The sequence below is a fragment of the Homo sapiens genome, chromosome 12 (assembly GCF_000001405.40).
Source record: "Homo sapiens chromosome 12, GRCh38.p14 Primary Assembly".
Lineage (NCBI taxonomy): Eukaryota > Metazoa > Chordata > Mammalia > Primates > Hominidae > Homo > Homo sapiens.
The window spans coordinates 92,082,012-92,101,924 of NC_000012.12; the positions used below are offsets into that span (position 1 = coordinate 92,082,012).

Sequence of the window (19,913 nt, forward strand, 5' to 3'; positions counted from 1 at the left end):
TTCACTTCTCAGAGATTCTCATAATGCCTTGCACAAGACCATTCCCAGAGTAGGCACTCAATATGAATTGAATGAATAATAAATAGGAGAAAGAGAGCGAGAAAGAGAGGAAGAGAGGTTTTGATAAGTCAAGGGTTGTATGAAGAATAGACCTAGGAATGGTTCATGGAAATCAATGTAAATGACTCTTGCAAATGAGCAGACTGAAATATATTTAGAGCTCCCTTAGGGGAAAAAATTTCATTTCCATTCCTAGGATAGATATTTATCTGTTCAGAATCATTCAGATATAGTCCTGCCTGAAGAAAGAGGTAACCTCTCAAATTCTTTCTTGACCTATTATATATATTCTCTCTCTCTCTCTCCCTATTTCTGTGTGTGTATGAGTGTTTTTAAAATCAATGTATCAATAATTTTAGACAGAGAGAAGACAACATGATTGTCTGAATGAGATGCATATTTTTCCACAGGGTACAAATAAAATATTCCAAGAGATAACACAGTTAGATTTCAAAGTATTACTAAGAAGAACTAGCTATGTTTTTATTAGTTGAAAGAATCTCACTGCAAATAAACCAATCTGCTATTTTAATGCTAAACAGAAAAACTTTGAATTATGCAAAAAAATAATGCACAGCTTCTGATGATTATAAAATGCATTACTAAAGGCTATGATGCATCATTTATAGGCTACTATTGGAAATCTGAGCTCTGAGAGATGATTAGTTTAAATAACTGAAAGGGAAAGTGACTTGGCATATGAGGAAAGATAACTATTTCACAAAATAAGCCCACCAAATTTGAGACAATGAATTAAACAACTTACAAATCTGCTCAACAAAAGCATAGGTAAAAAGAAAGATCTATGAATCCTTTTATCAATTGCTTCTTAAGTATTTATTTATTTTTAATTAATTTAATTTTGTCACTCTGTCTTCCAGGCTGAGTGCAGTGGTGTGATCATAGCTCACTGCAGCCTCAGCCTCCTGGGTTCAAGCGATCCTCCCACCTCAGCCTCCCGAGTAGAGGGACTACAGGCACGTACCACCACACCCAGCTAATTTTTTATTTTTTATAGGCGAGGTCTCTCTATGTTGCCCAGGTTTGTCTCCAACTCCTGGACTCAAGCAATTCCCCTGCCTCGGCCTCCCAAAGTGCTGGGATTACAGGCGTAAGCCACCGTGCTTGGCATCTCCTTAAATATTTAAATACAGTGGTGTCTCTCACTCTCAGAACCAAGGACTGTTGGAATATCCAGAGACATCGTTTCAGAGGTCATGAATTTTGTAAATTTTTTTATTTTTATTTTTGCATGTTAACAATATATTTTTTAAATCTTGTATAGTTTAACAACAAAACTGTATTAGTTTTCTATTACTGCTATAACAAAGTACCACAAACTTAGTGGGTTAAAACAACAAAATTTGTTATCTTACAGTTCTGGAAGTCAGACACCTGACACAGTTTTCATTGGACTAAAATCAAGGTGTCAGCTAGCCTGGGCTTTTTCTGGAGGCTCTAGAGGAGAAACCATTCTTGCCTTTGCAGCTTCTAGAGGGTAGCCGCATTCCTTGGCCTGCAGCCTTCTTCTTCCTTCTTCAAAGCCAGTGATGAAGCACGTGTCTGAGTCTGCTACCATCGTCACATCTCTTTCTCTGACTAAAGACTGGAAAGATTCTCCAAGTATAAGAATTCAGATTATTAGATTGGGGCCACCTGAATAATCTCCCTGTTTCAAGATCCTTAAACATAGTCACTTCTGCAAAGTTCCATTTGCCATGTAAGGCAACATGTTTATAGATTAGAATATAGATGTCTTTGGGGAGCCATTATTGTGCAAAACACAAGAACTCTTACCACTTACAATTGGAACAAAAAAGCAGTTTCTTAGAATAATACTTTAGCTTTATAAATCAGCATTTTTCAAATTGGAGTCAGTAGACATGCGATCTTGAATACCTATGATATTTTTAAGATGTTTCTTTATTTGAGGAACACAGACATTTAGTTTTTTCTATTAGTTCTAGACCTGTTGTCTAATCAGAGATAAGATTCCTATAGGAAACAGTTAATTTTTTTCAGCTCTATCACCAAAGACCTCATCTGATAGGGATGCCATCTTGCAAATATATACTTTGGGTTCAAGAGGGTCTATGGTAAAGGGTACATAGCATTATACACAATGTATTCTCATTTCTGGAAAACCAACTCAATAATCGTTTTTTACTCCAGTGTATCAGTATCATCATTACCTGGTAGAAAGAAGAGTCCATTAGACAACTCTTCAAAGAATAACACAGGAGAAAGACTCTTACCAAGGGACTGTGAGCCTGAAGGAACTCACTTTTCCTGCTCTGTTATTTTGCTTCTTTATTATACAGAAGAAACAGGACATCTTTGCTCAATCAACATTAGAAACAGAAGCAGTTCGCCAAGTAGCAAGTGAAAGGTGTTATAAGCAGGCAAGGAACAGTGGGGATTGAACTTCTGGGGAATCTCTGGGCTTCCTGATATTCTGAGTCCTTGTGAATTTTCCTTTTTCTCTTTTCTTTTCTTTTTTTTTTTTTTTAAGATATAGGGTCTCCCTTTGTCATCCAGGCTGGAGTGCAGTGGCAAGACCATAGCTCACTGCAGCCTCAAGCTCCTGTACTCAAGTGATCCTCCTGCCTCAGCCAAGAAGCTGCGACCACAGGTGTGTGCCACCACACCCAGCTAATTTTATTTTATTTTTTAATCTTTTTAGACACAGGGTCTTGCTTGGCTGCCCAGGCTGATCTTGAATTCCTAGCTTCAAACAATCCTCCCACCTCAGCCTCCCAAAATGCTGGGATTACAGGTATGAGCCACCACACCCAGCCTATGAATTTTTCTTAAGAGAAAAATTCTACCTCTCATGGGATTCTCAAAAGTATGTGACTCCCAAAAAAATTAAGAACCACTGTTCTCACATGAGAAAGAAAAAAAAAACTAACCCGAGAATTCTGAGAAATATGATAATCAACCAATAAAGTGGAAAATTAGAAAGATTGGCAGGGAAGTGGAGAGGGCAGAAGGCTTATTTGTATGTTCATATGAGTAAAAAAAGTTCACTAAATCATTGTTTCAAGAATGACTATGAGCAGGGAAAGCTCACAGAGATTTTTTTCATCACCAGCTGTCTTTTTCTTTTCTACCACACTGCACAGCCCAGCACAGCCACCGGATCCTCACAGCAGTATGGAACTTGGCTTTTGCTTTTGGTTCTTGACACCATTCATTACTGTGTCTTCAAGTGTGGAGTCACAGCATTTATAAAGCATGAGGAGTGCAGATGTTCTAAAGACACATTTACACACACACAAACACACACATGCAGACACACAGCCTGTTGTAAAATGAGCTATTACTATTTACTCACATCTCCCCAAATGTACTCTTCCTATCAAATTAACCCAAAATAGAAAAAACAAAACACCACTCTGAGATATTTTTTTACAGCTCATTTTTAATGATTCAGTTTACCACCCCCGACAGCAGTAGCCCCAAAAAAGAAGAAAGTGCATTACTGGCCAATGTAATGGAACTCTACCCCAGAAACAGAAAGGTCATGAGACCAGTTTTCTGTAAATATTTACTCACATTAACCTATGTTTAATGTGTCGAATGCCAAATTCTACAACTGAGTCAACATATGCTGACCTCTCATTGTGTCTTTTTATCACTTTTTCTCACATAAAGAGTTTGGGTTTCCAAATCTCTGCCATTCCATTATAAATACAGCTCATTCATGTTTTGTTAAAACACTTCATGTTACTTCTCGGGTTCCAATTACCCAACAGAAGGTGCATTGAATTTGCCTGGGAAACAGGGACAATGTCTGATTGTAAAAGTTTATGGCATTCCCTCTCTCCCCTCAGAGTATTTTAGACATATAAGAAAGTTAAACCCTGGGGGAAAATATAAACAAGCTGCTTGGAATATACACACAATTACATAACCTATTTGTAAAAATTGCTACCACCATCTTGCTAGGCAGTACAAAAAGCAAACATCTATCCCTACATTACTTACACAGCTATTCTTTTCTTCATCTGCACCAATGGCTAAATGGCCTAAATGATAACTACATCACATCATTTGGCATAAACATACCAAGATTCTAAGTATAAAATTGTGAGATTGCATTCTGCTTTTATTAATAAGCAAGGAGGTAAATATTAGATAACATCAATAGCCTCACAGAAAATGACAATACCAAAATTCTAAGAATACCCCAGCAAAAATATATATTTAAACAATCTTTTTTGGTGATTGGAAAAGACATTTAATTCCCTAGAAAGCAAGAGACTTCATCATATATACATATACATATACATATATATGCACACACATATATATACACATACAAATACACACACACGTATCTCACACTGGATCTTGCACCTATAAGTACCTCATACATTCAACAAAATTGATTATATAATATGGGTGAGAGGAAAGAATAAAGGATTTGGACTCGAACCCATAACCTGGATTAGAATTTTATATTTGCTACTCACCAGCTGTTTGATTTGGGACAAAAGATGTTACCTCTCTGAGCCTTGGTTGTTTTCCTCAAGTATAAATGGGGAAAAAATGCCTTCTTGTAACAGTGTCGAGAAGACTTGCTTGTACCTAGCATATGGTAGGCAATGGATAAATGAAAGCCGTTGGTATTAATCATGTAATTGATCAATTCATTCACCAGATGCTGAGATCCTACTCTCTCTCTCTGGTACTGTGCCATCATGGAACCCTGAATATACTCTGATTTAATGCAATGGTATATATTTCAGCTCATATTTTTTTCTATTGTTCAATTTAATTTATACATATCTATCATCCATATGTAGATTTTATATATATGTAGAATATATATATATAATATATTATATATAGTTAATTAGTTTGTTTGTTTTTGAGACAAAGTTTCACTCCATCATCCAGGCTGGAGTGCAGTGGCACCATCTCAGATCACTGCAACCTCCACCTCCCAGGTTCAAACAATTCTCCTGCCTTAGCCTCCTGAGTACCTGGGATTACAGGTGTGCACCACACCTAGGTAATTTTTGTGTTTTTAGTAAAGACGGGGTTTCACCATGTTGGTCAGGCTGATCTCGAACTCCTGACCTCAAGTGATCTGCCCACCTTGGCCTCCCCGCATGTAGGATTACAGATATGAACCACCGTGCCCGGCTTAATTTATATTCTTTTTAAATTTATCTTATTTTATTTAGAGACAGGCTGGACTGCAGTGGCATGACCGTAGCTCATTGTAACCTTGAACTCTTGGCCTCAAGCAATCCTCCCACCTTGGATCATGTGTGAGCCACCCCACCTGGCCTTAGTTTATATTCTGTACCCTCTTTCTACCTGTTGAAGATACCTAATTCAGGTAAATCAATCTTTCCATCTTTTCTCTGGTGTTATTACATGATTTAGAGAGTAATAAAAGGAAAGATGTAAGCTCACGGTCTGGGGAAGGAGAAAAATAAAAATTAAAAATAAACGATCTATATTAAAACAATATAATAAGTACTATTGCAGTGTGATGATATTTTGAAATATTGGGACCATTTCTTATTTAGAACCCCATTCTTTTGCCCCGTTTTAATATTATGGGGGTTTGGCAAGACAGTATTATAGTTAAAAGCAGAGGAAAAGCTTTTGAGTTTGAAAAGCCTAGCCCCAAGGGAGCTCAGAGACAACAAAATGGGGTTAGACAGAGACTTCCCAATGCCTCCTCCCACCCTCCATTCATCTCACTCTCTACTAAGTAACACTGCTTAGTGTGGGGAGGAGAAGGAGTCAGAAGAAACTGAGGAACTTAGATGCAGCCGGGTCTGTAAGAAGGGTCCGTATGCAGGGGAAGGGGGAATGACACGAACCCCCCCAAAAATGAAGAGCTCCCAGAATAGAAGAATGCAACCCCAGAAAAGAAATATCAGCATGCTGTATCTGGGGGGGCAGGGTGGGGCGGGGAGGCCTCAGACAGCCTCGTTGAGTTAACAGAATGGCCTCTTGTTTCTGAGAGCAATCCAGAAAAGAGACAAGAGTCCTAGCACCCTGAACATTCCCATTTTCCAACACTGCCTGGAAATATACACTTTCACGTGCTCAGGAAGGGCACCAAAGTAGGGAGTTTGGCTGAATATGAAGGTCTTTCAAAGCTGAGAATAAGAGTGATGCTATATGGTGGCTCACGCCTGTAATCCCAGCACTTTGGGAGGCTGAGGCGGGCGGATCACGAGGTCAGGAGATCGAGACCATCCTGGCTAACACGGTGAAACCCCGTCTCTACTAAAAATACAAAAAAATTAGCCGGGCATGGTGGCGGGTGCCAGTAGTCCCAGCTACTCGGGAGGCTGAGGCTGAGGCTGAGGCAGGAGAATGGCGTGAACCTGGGAGGCGGAGCTTGCAGTGAGCCAAGATTGCGCCACTGCACTCATGACTGGGCGACAGGGCGAGACTCTGTCTCAAAAAAAAAAAAAAAAAAAAAAGGGATGCTATCGTCACCTGTCTGGACCAACAATCAAAAGAAGAGAGAAGGCAGAGAATGGGCATCAAGTGGAGCCTACCAAGAATAGGTGATGACTGAGAACACATTCCCTATCTCATTTGGGTCTGTATAAGCCCTTTAGGCTTCACGGGTTTAGACATAACCCCAGAGAAAAGATAGAAAAATATACCCTGATTTGTCTGAGCTTAGATAGCAAGAGGTAGAATGAGGGTTCCAATTGCAAATTCAATTGGGCAATAGAAAAAAATTGTGAGCTGAAATGTGTACCTATTGCAGTAAGGTCAAGGTATGTCCAGGGTCACAGAATTCCACAGAGGAGATGCTGGAAGAATCAGAAAAGGGAGCTTAACTTTATGATTGAAGGATGAAAAGGAGCTCTCTATGCAGGACCAGGAGTGCTCTGGAGAAAAGCTCTGTGCAATGGTACAAAGGTGGGCGTGGTGAGTTTGAGGACTAGGAAGTAACTGGCTGTGCTTGGTCTTAGGGGACCAGATGCGGAGTGGGAGGAAGTGCAGCTAGAAAGGAAAACCTGGATTAGACCATGAAAACTATTATATTGAATGCTCTAGTACTGCAGGGGGAAAATCCTAGCAATTATGTATAGAGTGATTTAGGAGGGAGAGATGAGAGGCTTATACTAAAATTAGAGACCACAAGTCCAATCTAGCTCAGACAGAACATGAAAACAGAACAGATGAAAAGAGAAAGCAAATGAAAATCAAGCAAAAGAAGGCATTTAATAAGTCTAGGAAGAATTAATATAAAAGAACAGGAAGAAAGGGATTTAAATGCATTTGCTTCACTTACGGAAGTCCTAGTTGTGTGTCTAATTTTGATTTTTTCAGAAATCTTATTAGAAAATCTTTTATAAAAGATATCAAATTCTAAAACAATAAAATATCTGCATTCCAATTTGGTATTTCTGGTTAGATATCCCCATTTCTGTACATTTTTAAAGAATAGCTATGTGACTAAGACACGAATGTGGTTAGCTTTGAAACAATGTTTACTTTTTCCATCAAAGTTCCATTTTCAATGAGATTTAGCTCACAAGGTAATGTTCTTTTAGGCAAGTACAAGATTTCTAAGGATTTCCTTCATTATTGCTAGGTAGATTTCTTTTTTGGTTAGGACTTTTCTTTTCTATTCTTGTTTAAAATTATTGCAATGTACTCTTCTTGTTGCACTATAGTTATGGGTCATGTAATAAGAGGAATTCAGTGTTTCTAAAGAAGATTGTGAAACATGCAGAAAGATGGATCAGAGAAAAACATCTTGTATGCTAATTTTAATTTCTTTCCATTTTCCTAGTTACAAATTGCAGCTTCTCAGGTGCCTTTTAGTTTCCTGCTGTGGTACATAGCAAAATTGCTGGAATATAAAAAGCTTTCCTTTGGACAGAGAAATAAGCATTTAAAAAGCAAAGTTTAGTTCAATACCAGAAAACAAAGTTTAATGCATTTCGTGTGTACTGCTATGTCCAGATGCACAATCAGCAAGTTCTTTCTTGCATAAACACTGGGTTTAAACGTTATATATCTCATCATTATGTCAATGCTAAACCAAAGTAGAGAGAAGTGATAAAATGGCCTGACTATCCTAATTCTAAGGCCTACACATCTCAAGCAGTGTTTTCCCTAATGTTTTTCTTTATTGTATTCATTTTTTCTGTTATAAAAATAGTTTAATCATATGACCCAAAGTAAACTGGAAAAGAAAAATAAAAATGCCACTTAAAAGACTAGAATATAGAAAGGCTGCCCGAGGCCAGCAAAACTGGGGTGTAATTGATTAGAAGCATTACAACACACAAGAAAGAATATATTGTAGAAAATGGGGCTGGAACAACAGTAGAAGCATAGAAAAAAGAAAGTCAGAGGGATTAAAATAATCCTACACTAGTTGGGCGCAGTGGCACACACCTATAATCCCAGCTACTCAGGAGGCTGAGAGCTCAGGAGTTCAAAACCAGCACAGGTAACATAGCAAGACCCCATCTCAAAGAAAGAGAAAAATAATAATAATCCAATTTGATATGCAGCAATACTGCTAGGTGTCCCATGTCCTGCAAACAGGGGCAAATGGGGGAAGAGTTCACATTCAGACCTGCTGGAAACACATTATGGGGAGAACTCACAGGGACAGCAATGGTAGCAGGTAGTGTGGGATTCTCTTGCTCATCAATTAGCAAATTGAAAAGACCGGATATCAGACTCCAGAAGAGAGACTCCCAACTCTTGGGTGGGAGGCTTTTACATTACACGATTAATATTGAACCCTCTGCTTACCTGATCAGGGACCAGGAAAAAAATAGCAATATGGAATAGAAGAACTGGGACTCTAAAGTGATCAGAAGCTGGGGCACAAGCCTCGCAAGTGTCCTGTATAATGTAGCAGAGTAGCAGCAGGGTTCACTACCTCTATGTTCACGGGTGGGGATGCACTCACCTCTCCCTGGAATAATGAGAACTGGGGTCTAAACCTTGGGAGATCAGTCTTGGACAATGATCCCGTTCCCAACTTTGTCCACACTGATAAAGACCCTGATTTTTGGCGGATCATTTGGCTATGCAAGATAGAGACTTCATTTCTTGGGTTTTCAATGGTGTTTCTAAGAGCCCATTCCAGAGAAGCTAAGCCTCCCAATAGACTGGCCAAATGAGGTTTCTGCAAACTTATAGGCCAGTTCCTGAACAGGGCAAACTTTTCAAGATTGTGGCAACTTATATAATCCCTTTGAATAATCACCTCACCTCTCCTTCCACTTCTTCAATCTTGCCTCATGCTTTCTTTTTTTGTTTTGTTTTGTTTGGTTTTTTGTTTTTGAGACAGGGTCTCACTCTTTCACCCAGGATGGAATGCAGTGGTGCAATCTTGGCTCACAACAACCTCCACCCCCTGGACTCCAGCGATTCTCCCACCTCAGCCTCCCAAGTTGCTGAGACCACAGGTGCACGCCACCATGCCCAGCTAATTTTTGTATTTTTTTGTAGAGATGGGATTTCACCATGTTGCCCAGGCTGGTATCAGACTCTTGGACTCAAGCGATCCACCCACCGCAGCCTCTCAAAGTGCTGGGATTACAGGCGTGAACCACTGCACCCAGCCATTGCCTTATGCTTTCTGTTCTAAACATTTAACAATCACAATCATAATGGGATGTAATCACCTGAACTGATTAAGAGCGTATGATATTTCAGTACAATCCATAAGTTCACAGAAAAAAGAAAAGAGTGTACGATAGCCTGTTGTGCTAGCTCTCATTAGCCAATAACATATGGTATATGAAGAACATGGGGGCAAAATATATATTCAGTGTCCTGTACAACTATGTGTGTCCTGCACAACTATGACTAAAAGACTATTCTGGAGTCATGCTGTCCTTGAGTGTAATTACTGGCTATACCACTTAGCAGCTGTGTGACAATGAGAAAGTTATTTGGTTTCTCTAAGCCTCAGTTTCCTCATCTGTAAAACAGGAAAAAGAATGGCATGGTCTCATTAGGTTGTTCTCATGATTAGACCAATATAATGTATCTAATGCTCTGAGAACAGTGCCTGGCATACAGTTGGTGCTACTAGCTATTATTCTTTTGTGAGTTGAGACAATCCCTATAAAACACTTAGCATTCTGCCTGGCTCAATGTGTACGAACATTAGATGTTGGCCATTACCACAATTATTAGCCATTCACTTAACAAACCCTTCTCCTTGTTCAGCCAGCAAGGCTGGCAGCCACAGGCAGTGGGCTCTTGCTGCGGCGGCCCTGCTGGTAAAGAGGGCTTCCACTGTTATCTAGCCGTCCTCCCTGAGAAGGTTGCCCTTGCTACTGCCCAACTCTGATAAGGAAGGGGAATGATTTCCAACGAAGACCTTCTAGAAACTCAAATGAGAAGCATCCCTCTCCACTTTCTTTCCCTAGTCTTCAAGAAACAGACACAAGGAAGGGCCAGGAAAGCTTGTCTGAAAGGCTCTGAACAGGCTGAGATCGCACAGCACAGTCCTCATAGGCACCTCAATGAACCATAAAACTTGCATTATTAAAATAGGCTTTCTTTTGAGAGCAGTTTTAGGATCACAGAGAAATTAAATGGAAAGTTTTCATAATCCCTCTGCCTCCACACATGCACAACTTCCCCACTGTCAACATCCCCCACCAAAGTGGCACGTTTGTTATAATGGATGAACCTACATGACGCGGTATCACTCAAAGTCTATAGTTTACATTGGAGTTCACTCTACGTGTGCTTTCTATCGGTTTTTAACAAATATATGACATGTATCCGCCTTTACAGTATCATACTGAGTTGTTTCACTGCCCAAGAAATCCTCTATACTCTGTCTATTCATTCCTCCTTCCCACCTAACCTCTAGCAACCACTAATCGTTGACTGTTCACGTTTCCATGGAATCACACAATATCTAGCCTCTTCAGATTGGCATCTTTCACTTAGTAATATGCATCTAAGTCTTTTCTATGTCTTTTCATGACTTGGTAATTCATTTGTTTCGTTTTTTGTTTGCTGGTTTGCTTGTTTTTGAGACAGGGTCTCACTCTGTAGTCTAGCCCGGAGTGCAGTGGTGCAATCTTGGCTTACTGCCACCTCGACCTCCTGGGCTCAAGTGATCCTCCCACCTCAGCCTCCCTATTAGCTGAGACCACAGGTGCATGCCACCATGCCCAGATAATTTTTGCATTTTTGTAGAGACGGGGTCTCACCATGTTGCCCAGGCTGGCCTCAAACTGCTGGACTCAAGCAATCCACCCGCCTCGGCCTCCCAAATTGCTGGAATTACAGGTGTGAGCCACTGCGCCCAGCCAACTTCATTTGTTTTTATCCCTGAATATTAGTTCATTGTCTGGATATACCACAGTTTATTTATTCATTCACCTACTGAAGGACATATTGGTTGCTTCCAAATTTTGGCAATTATGAATAAAGCTGCTATAAACACCCATCTGCAGGTTTTTGTATGGACATAAGTTTTCAATTCCATTAAGTAAGTCAAGGAGTGTGATAGCTGGATCATATGAATCATATGCTAAGAGGATATTTAGTTAGGTAAGAACTGCCAAACTCTTCTAAAGTGACTGTACTATTTTGCGTTCCCACTAGCAATGCATGAGAGTTGCTGTTGTTCCCCTTCTCACCAGTATTTGATGTTGTCAGTGTTTTAGATTCTGTCTATTCTAATAGGTGTGTAGTGGTATGTCATTATTACTCTAATTTGGAATCCCCTAATTACATAGGATGTTAAGCATATGATTATTTGCCATCTGTATATCTTCTTTGGCATGGCATCTGTTCAGGTCTTTTGCCTATTTCTTTATTGCATTGTTTTCTTCTCTTTCTTTCCCTTTTCTTTTCTTTTCTTTCTTCTTCTTCTTTTTTTTTTTTTTTTTTTTTTTAAATTTTAGAGACAGGGTCTTGCTCTGTCACCCAGGCTGGAGGGCAAAGGTGCATTTATACCTCACTGCAGCCTCAAATTCCTGGGCTCCAACAATCCTCATGCCTCAGCCCTGTGAGTAGCTGGGACTACAGGCATGCACCACCATGCCCAAGTAAGTTTATTTTTTCCTTGTTTGTTTGTTTTTTTTCTGTAGAGATGGGTATGTTGTCCATCCTAACCTCAAGGGATCCTCAGCCTCCCAAAATGGTGGGATTACAGGCACGAGTCACTCTGCCTGGCCTTTTTTCTTATTGTTAATTTTAAGAATTCTTTGTATATTTTGGATAGCAGTCCTTTATCAGATATTCATTTTTCAGGCTGGATATGGTGGCTCACCCTTGTAATCCCAGCACTTTGGGAGGCTGAGGTGGGAGGATTGCTTGAGCCCAGGAGTTCAAGATTAGCCTGGGCAACAAAGTGAGACACCCCACCCCCCCAAACCCCAGTATCTACAAATAACAAGAAAAATTAGCCAGACGTGATGGCGCATGCCTGTGGTCAGAGCTACTCAGGAAGCTGAGACAGGAAGATGACCTGAGCCCATGAAGTCGAGGCTGCAGTGAGCTGTGATCATGCCACTGCACTCCAGCCTGGGTGACAGAGGGAGACCCTGTCTCCAAAAAAAAAGACACATATTTTGCAAATATTTTCTCCCAGTCTTCCCCTTCTCTTGATAACATTTACATTATAATATCTATTATAACTGTTTTTCTTTTCTTTCTTTACAGCAAGCCTATTGCTATTGCTTTTGTGTCAGCCATGAAAAGAACACAAATAGATGGCAGAGACACCACGGTGGAAGAAACAACACACACTGCAGACACACCAACTCAGGAAGGACAGAGTCACTCTCATTGGCTAAATGTGTACAGTCCAGTTTGCTGAGCCAGTGCTTATTGGCTGACTGCCTGTGATAACAGAGCATAGGAACAATATTGATCACAGCATAGTATAAGAGATTATTAAGTATAATTTATTTTAGGGAAATATTTCAGAGACAAATACCATTCTGATGAGTCAAGCACATAAAATCCATGATAAAGAGAATGTTTTGGATGGGTATGGGAGGGAGTTTCAAGGGACCCTGCCTCCTCCTGGAGGGCTGCAGTGTTGCCCTTCCAAGTTAAAACAAAAACTGCCTGGAGAAATGCAAGGGGTCTTTGTGGGGCTCTGAAGACTTCCTGAATCTGAATAAAAATGTTTCTTTATTTGGTTAAGAAGACAAGAGTGCACAAATCCTTGAATCTGTCATAGAAGGAGGGTAGTCTGAGTCTGGCGTGGCCTTCGTGTACTGTGCTGAAGAACACAGAAATTTTTGAGATATTATGCACAAAAGTAGGTTTTGGGTTACCCAAGTGCACTGTTCCTGACACTTGAAATTGTACATGGAGGTAGCTTAGGTGTTGCCCAAATCATGCAGGAAGCTTGAAGAAGATACCTTACTCTCTTATGCAATGCCAAATATCAGACACGCACATCTCCAAATTTAATATAAAGTGCTGAGCTCTGATATTGATATAAAATATTAAACATATTTATAAAGGTCACTTGCTGTTGGAAGTAACTGCTTGAGGAGAGGCTAAGGCTCAAGACACTTCATGTGGGAGTGGCCATGTACTTCAGCCATTCTCCATCCAATCCACCACTAAGGAAGGGCTGCACGATCTTGAAAGTCCAAGAAACGGGCCGGGCGCGGTGGCTCATGCCTGTAATCCCAGCACTTTGGGAGGCCGAGGCGGGCGGATAACGAGGTCAGGAGATCGAGATCATCCTGGCTAACACGGTGAAACCCCGTCTCTACTAAAAATACAAAAATAGCCGGGTGTGGTGGCGGGCACCTGTAGTCCCAGCTGCTCGGGAGGCTGAGGCAGGAGAATGGTGTGAACCCGGGAGGTGGAACTTGCAGTGAGCAGAGATCACACCACTGCACTCCAGCCTGGGCGACAGAGCAAGACTCCATCTCAAAAAAAAAAAAAAGAAAGTCCAAGAAATGAATCTCCAGAGCTGCCTTCTAACTTCAGGACACTCTATGCTCACATTATTGTAATGTCACAGAGGCCAATACAAAAGAGTGAAGAGCTTTCATTCTCCCCTACACACATAGAAGCTTTGCTACATGTGCTCCTGGAGCCGGCTTACAACTCAGTATCCCCACTGCAGGTGGCATATTGACCCAGCAGAGATCCTGAGGTGTACCCTTTCTTTGTCTCTCCTCCTGTAGTTTATCAAGTAGAGGAAACAGTAAATTAGAAGCATCTGAGATTGATCACATCAGCTTTTAAGAAGCTTGCATTTTAATTCAATACAATCCATAGGTTCAGAAAAATGAAAAAAAGAAACTCGCATTTTAGGCCTATATTCAATGCTGGCCCTTATGCCAAGTATCAACAGCCATAATAAATGCCAAATACTCCATTTTGACTTCACTTTAACAGACTGTATTTGCCATTCTGATTTTTTATCTTTAATACATCTTTAAAAATACCCTGAAAAAATACACTGAGTCATAGCCCATAAATTAGAATGTAATCTTAAAAACCCTGAGTCCAACCTCTTCATTTTAAAGAAAAGTAAACTATGTTCAATGGTGATGAAATGCTTTTCATAGGTTGTCTGTGATAGATCTCACTCTGCCAAGGATCTTATTTAAGCTAAAAGACGTGATATGGTACAGTCTTGCTGTTTTTGCTATCCAAAAATCCATTTACCCTTCTATTGGGCCTCAGTTTTCTCAAGGGAACTCTTGCCTCCCTTCACCCCACTCCTCTGTACACTATACACCAAAACAGACACATAGACAGATACCCTCTCAGTCTATGCCATTCTGGTATAGTAAGTGACACAAACATAAAACAATCAGCACATGGCATTTGCTCTGACCATAGTGATTGGTGCAGAAATGGGCAGTGACTCAATCAGAGTGAAAAGAGAAAATGAGACTTTACTGGCAATGCTGAGACAAAGCCCTTCACTCTACCCACAGAGTTGAAGTACAAAGACGTAAGAACCAGAGGTATTATAGCTATCCTACAGTCACAAAAGGCCAGCCTGTGTCAGAATAAAACAACACAGGGGAAAGCAAAGCAAAGGATGTTTTCTTAATCCTTTTATCAAGCCATGCCTGAAGCCAGCCTTGAGCCCTTGAGTTTTCAGATACATCGAGTGAATAAATTCCTTTTCTAACCTAGTCTCAGAAGTTACCTTTGAACTTACTGTTCCTTTGCCTGGAACACCCTCCCCGATAAATAACCACACAGTTAGCTCCATCCCTTCCTTCAGACCTTTATTTTAAATAAAATGCTTTTCAACAAAGCATTTCCTGACTATCATATTTAAAATTTTTTTAAATTTTAAAACCTTTAACTTTTTTTTTTTTAAGAGATAGGGTCTTGCTATGTTGCCCAGGCTGGTCTCGAACCCCTGGACTAAAGTGATGCTCCCATCTAGGCCTCCCAAAGTGCTGGGGTCACAGGCATGAGCCACCACTCCCAGCATCATCTTTAACATTGTCTATACTCCTTCATTTTTTTTCCTTTGTAGCACTTATCAGTATCTAATACTCTAAATTTTATTAATTTCCTTCATTGTCTCACACTACAATGTCAGCTCAGTGAAGTCACATGCCTTTGTGATGTTCATCATTGTATTTCTAGTCTCTGGAAGAACCCCTGGCACAGAATGGGTACTCAATGAAAACTGGTTGAGTTGAGTGGATGAATTAATTTACCATATCTACTTATCTATTACACTGTCTACAGTGATTTTCATTTTGGGAGACTTCTTTTGTGTGTGTGTGAGACAGAGTCTCTCTCTGTCACTCAGGTTGGAGTGAAGTGGTGCAATCTCGATTCACCACAACCTCCACCACCCAGGTTCAAGCAATTCTCCTGCCTCAGCCTCTCAAGTAGCTGCAATTACAGGCATGCACCACCACACCTGGCTAATTTTTGTATTTTTAGTAAGGACAGGGTTTCACCATGTTAGCCAGGCTGGTCTCGAACTCCTGACCTCAAGTGATCCACCCACCTCAGCCTCCCAAAGTGCTGGGATTACAGGCGTGAACCACCGTGCCCAGCCAAGATTTTCATTTTAAGCCTTTTGCTGGTACTCATCATAGGCACAAAGAATAACCACAATAACAAACATGGAAAAGTTATGAAAGTCCCAGAACCTGACAATAATCTCATTGTCTTTCTTTCTTATCTGTAGATAAAGAGGACTGCCTGAAATCCCAAACACCTCAGCTTTCTCTTCTAAAGCATTGGAGTTTGCCTTTTTTCCTCTGCTGGACCTTACCTTTAGGCAGAGAGGTATCCTCCTACCTTCAGGAAGGAACAATTCAACCAAAGAAACAATTAAGTCAGCCTGGGCAACATAATAAGATCCCATCTCTACAAAAAATAAAAAGTTAAAAAAAAAAAGCTAGGCATGGTGGTGCACCTGTCTTCCCAGCTACTCAGGGAGGCCGAGGCAGGAGAATCACTTGAGCCCAGGAGCTCAAGGCTGCAGTGAGCTATGATTGTACCACTGCTGATGGAGATCCTGTCTGTAAAAAATAAATAAGAAACATACTAGGTACTGTTTTATCAAATTGAATAATTTGCATCTCAGCACCTTTCCTGACTCTCAGAAGAATGATCTCTCTTAGGAGTTTTCTCACATTTTTAAATAGCAAGAAAGATAAATGAGTATATTTTCTGTTATTAAAACCTAACCCCAGCACCCTTCTAATGGCTAAGATAAGAAAATACCCATAATGCAGCCCTGCATGAGGCCATTACCATTAATATTAACCTGCTTGGCAGCTCTAGGATAGAGTATAACCACAGCTATTGTTGTTCCTTCCCATGTTCTTTCCTGCAACTTTAAATTAACACATAGGCCCCAGGAAATTCTCCAAACTCTCTGTGGTAGTCCAAAGCTAATGGTGCCATATTACATTTTGAGCACTATTTTTTGAAATACACCATCTATTAGTCCAAATGAAAACTTGGCAAAACAAGGCTGAAGGACAACAAGGACAACTCATTTTGCATTGAATAGAATAAAGAGCAATAAACCTGCAGCCCTTAGATTTCTATTGGAAGGGTGGGGGAGGTGGGGCAGGGAAAGAATAAAAAGCCCTGCAGCCTTGGCAAAACTCATGCGTTACCTTTCCTTTGTGGGAGCAGATTTAAATAAACAAAGGCCAAATTTTTCCATGAGGACTTATGTTCCCAGATACAGTACAGTTGACAGGATAAACACAGATTAGTTAATCATTATTTCCTGCCATGTCCTGGTTATCATGATCTGCTAGAATTTATTAACAAGATTATAAAGGTAGGTGTGCAAAAGAAAACCAAAGAAGAATGTAAGAAGATGATATTAACTTCTTACACCAATACTAGAGCCTGGATTTCTACTTATGGGTGTGGACTCCCACTGAATTCATCACAGATTCCTTCCCTGTCTCCCTAATTAACACCCTCATGCATTCGTACATTGACTGGCTAAGATTAAGGTAAAATCACAGGACACTGTTTCACATGGACTTCTGACTCAAACTTTCATGTCATTAGAAACACGACATAATACTTTGAACATTTCAAATTTAACCAAAATTTCAACTTTTACAGACCTTTATTATTCACTCCTATGGACAAAGCCTTGCACTAATGTTCATCCTTAAACACAAACCTGACCATTTTCCTGACTTAACTACTCTCTGGAGCTACTGCCTACTAGAGAAGAGGTTAAGCATGATCGGATTGGAAAAAATCGAGAGATGAATTCAAAATGGGGGTTCTCGGACAGATTCTGAGAGGAGATGGGGTAAGGAGCATGGCCAGGGCTTTTAAAGCCATTGATGCATTCATTCATTCATTAGGTATGTAGTATGTACTGCTGAGCTGGGTAGAAGGAATACAATGGTGAGCAAAGTGGTCCAGATCTCTCTATCCGTAGAGTTTACAGTACAGTGGGGAGACAATCCTTAATCAAATGGTCTCTCAAATGTGTATAATTAAGAACTGTGGACTATTTGGTACAGGAGCTGTGACAGTGACCTAGTATCTAACTGTATCACTATTAGTCTGTTCTCACACTGCTATAAAGACATACGGAGACTGGGTAATTTATAAGGGAAATAAGTTTAATGGACTCACAGTTCCACATGGCTGGGGAGGCCTCACAGTCATGGTGGAAGGTGAAGGAGGAGCAGGGGCACATCTTACATGGTGGCAGGCAAGGGAGCATGTGCAGGGGAACTGCCCTTTATGAAACCATCAGATCTCGTGAGACTTATTCACTGTCATGAGAACAGCATGGGAAAAACCCACCCCTGTGATTCAATTACCTCCCACCGGGTCCCTCCCATGACATGTGGGGATTATAGGAGCTACAATTCCCATAATCCCAAGACGGGATTTGGCTGGGGACATAGCCAAACCATATCACTGACCTAGTCTAAAGGTAGAAAATGGGGAGTGGCAGATCATGGACGGCTTCCCTGAGAAGTGATCGTGGAGTGAGATCTGGAGAATGAGTGACCATTATGCAGCTAAGTACTGCTGGAAGAAAAACCAGGGAGGGCCCTTCTGGCCATGACTATGTTGGGAGAAGGCAGGGAGGCAATCAACTGAGAGGAGGTCTGTGTAGCTGAAGCCCAAAGAGACAGGACAAAGAATAGCAGCAAATAAACTGTGGGGTGTGTCTAGGGAATGACGGGACACAGTCCTGGCTGGAAAATAACATGCATGGCAGGATACAAATTAAACTGGAAATCATGATCTGGGCCTTGCACATTCTGGAAGAATAGGCAAATTAGGCTCAAGAATTTGAATGGCATTCTCTAGGCAATAAGAAATCATTACAGGCATACAGTGACAAGGTCAACCCTGTTTAAGGATGATTGTTCTAGAAGCAATATTGAAACAGACTTTGGCAAAGTGGGAGAGTAGGGAGAGCCCTGGAAGGAAAAGACAATAATTACAGGCAATTGTAATAGCCAAGTGAGAGAGAGCAAGATCCCAAACTAGGGCAGTGGGAAATGGAAGAAATGAACAGGTATAGAGATACTGTAAAGAAGAATCAGCAAATATGAGGGTTAATTGGATATGGACATGAAGGTGATGGGGGATGTTGGGGGAGACAGAGAGAGAAACTCACAAATGAATGAAAAGGTTTGAGCCTGAACATTATGAGGAGGAGGAGAAGGAGGAACATTATGAGGAGGAGGAGGAGGCCGCCAATATCAGAGTTTGGGAATAAGAGGGTTTTGGGAGGACAAGGCAGGTGGATCAATTGAGCCCAGGAGTTTGAGACCAGCCTGGGCAACATGGCAAAACCCCATCAAAAAAAAAAAAAAGAAAAAAGAAAAGCAAGCAAGCAAGCAAGAAAGAGAAAGAAGAAAGAAAGAAAGAAAGAAAGAAAGAAAGAAAGAAAGAAAGAAAGAAAGAAAGAAAGAAAGAAAGGAAAGAAAGAAAGAAAGAAAGAAAGAAAGAAAGAAAGAAAGAAAGAAAGAAAGAAAGAAAGAAAAAGAGGAGTCAGAGGCTTTGTGTGAGATCTGTTTCAGATATGCTGTTAATGGCATCTGGGGCAGCCAAATAGCTAATTCTGATTAGTTACCATCCTTCAAAAGTTGCGTTTGGAAACATAGATATGCAGGTCAGTCAATCGACAATATTTACTGGGTGGCTACTATGTGCCAGGCATTTTTTAGCTTAATTTTACTATGTGCCAGGCATTTTTTAGCTTAACTTTACTTATGTTTATAGAAATGGGGTCTCACTCTGTCTGTCCAGGCTGGAATGCAATGATGCGATCATAGCTCACTGCAGCCTCAAACTCCTAGGTTCAAGAGATTCTCCCATCTCAGCCTCCTGGATAGCTAGGACTACAGGCACATGTCACTGTGTTGAGCCAGGCATTATTTTATACACTG

At 40.6% G+C, this 19,913-nt stretch overlaps 1 long non-coding RNA gene across 5 annotated transcripts in view, besides 1 other annotated feature; it reads right to left on the bottom strand.

Annotated features, from left to right (window-relative positions):
• Nucleotides 1-19,913, bottom strand: part of LINC01619 (long intergenic non-protein coding RNA 1619) — a 157,856-nt gene that overhangs the window by 97,036 nt on the left and 40,907 nt on the right. The gene's annotated exons all lie outside the window — the stretch shown is intronic.
• Nucleotides 17,042-17,336: an enhancer, noted in NCBI's record as "tiled region #10753; HepG2 Activating DNase matched - State 7:EnhWF". NCBI's record gives its function as "activates a minimal TATA promoter and a strong SV40 promoter by Sharpr-MPRA in HepG2 cells {active_cell/tissue: HepG2}" and the evidence as "EXISTENCE:reporter gene assay evidence [ECO:0000049][PMID:27701403]".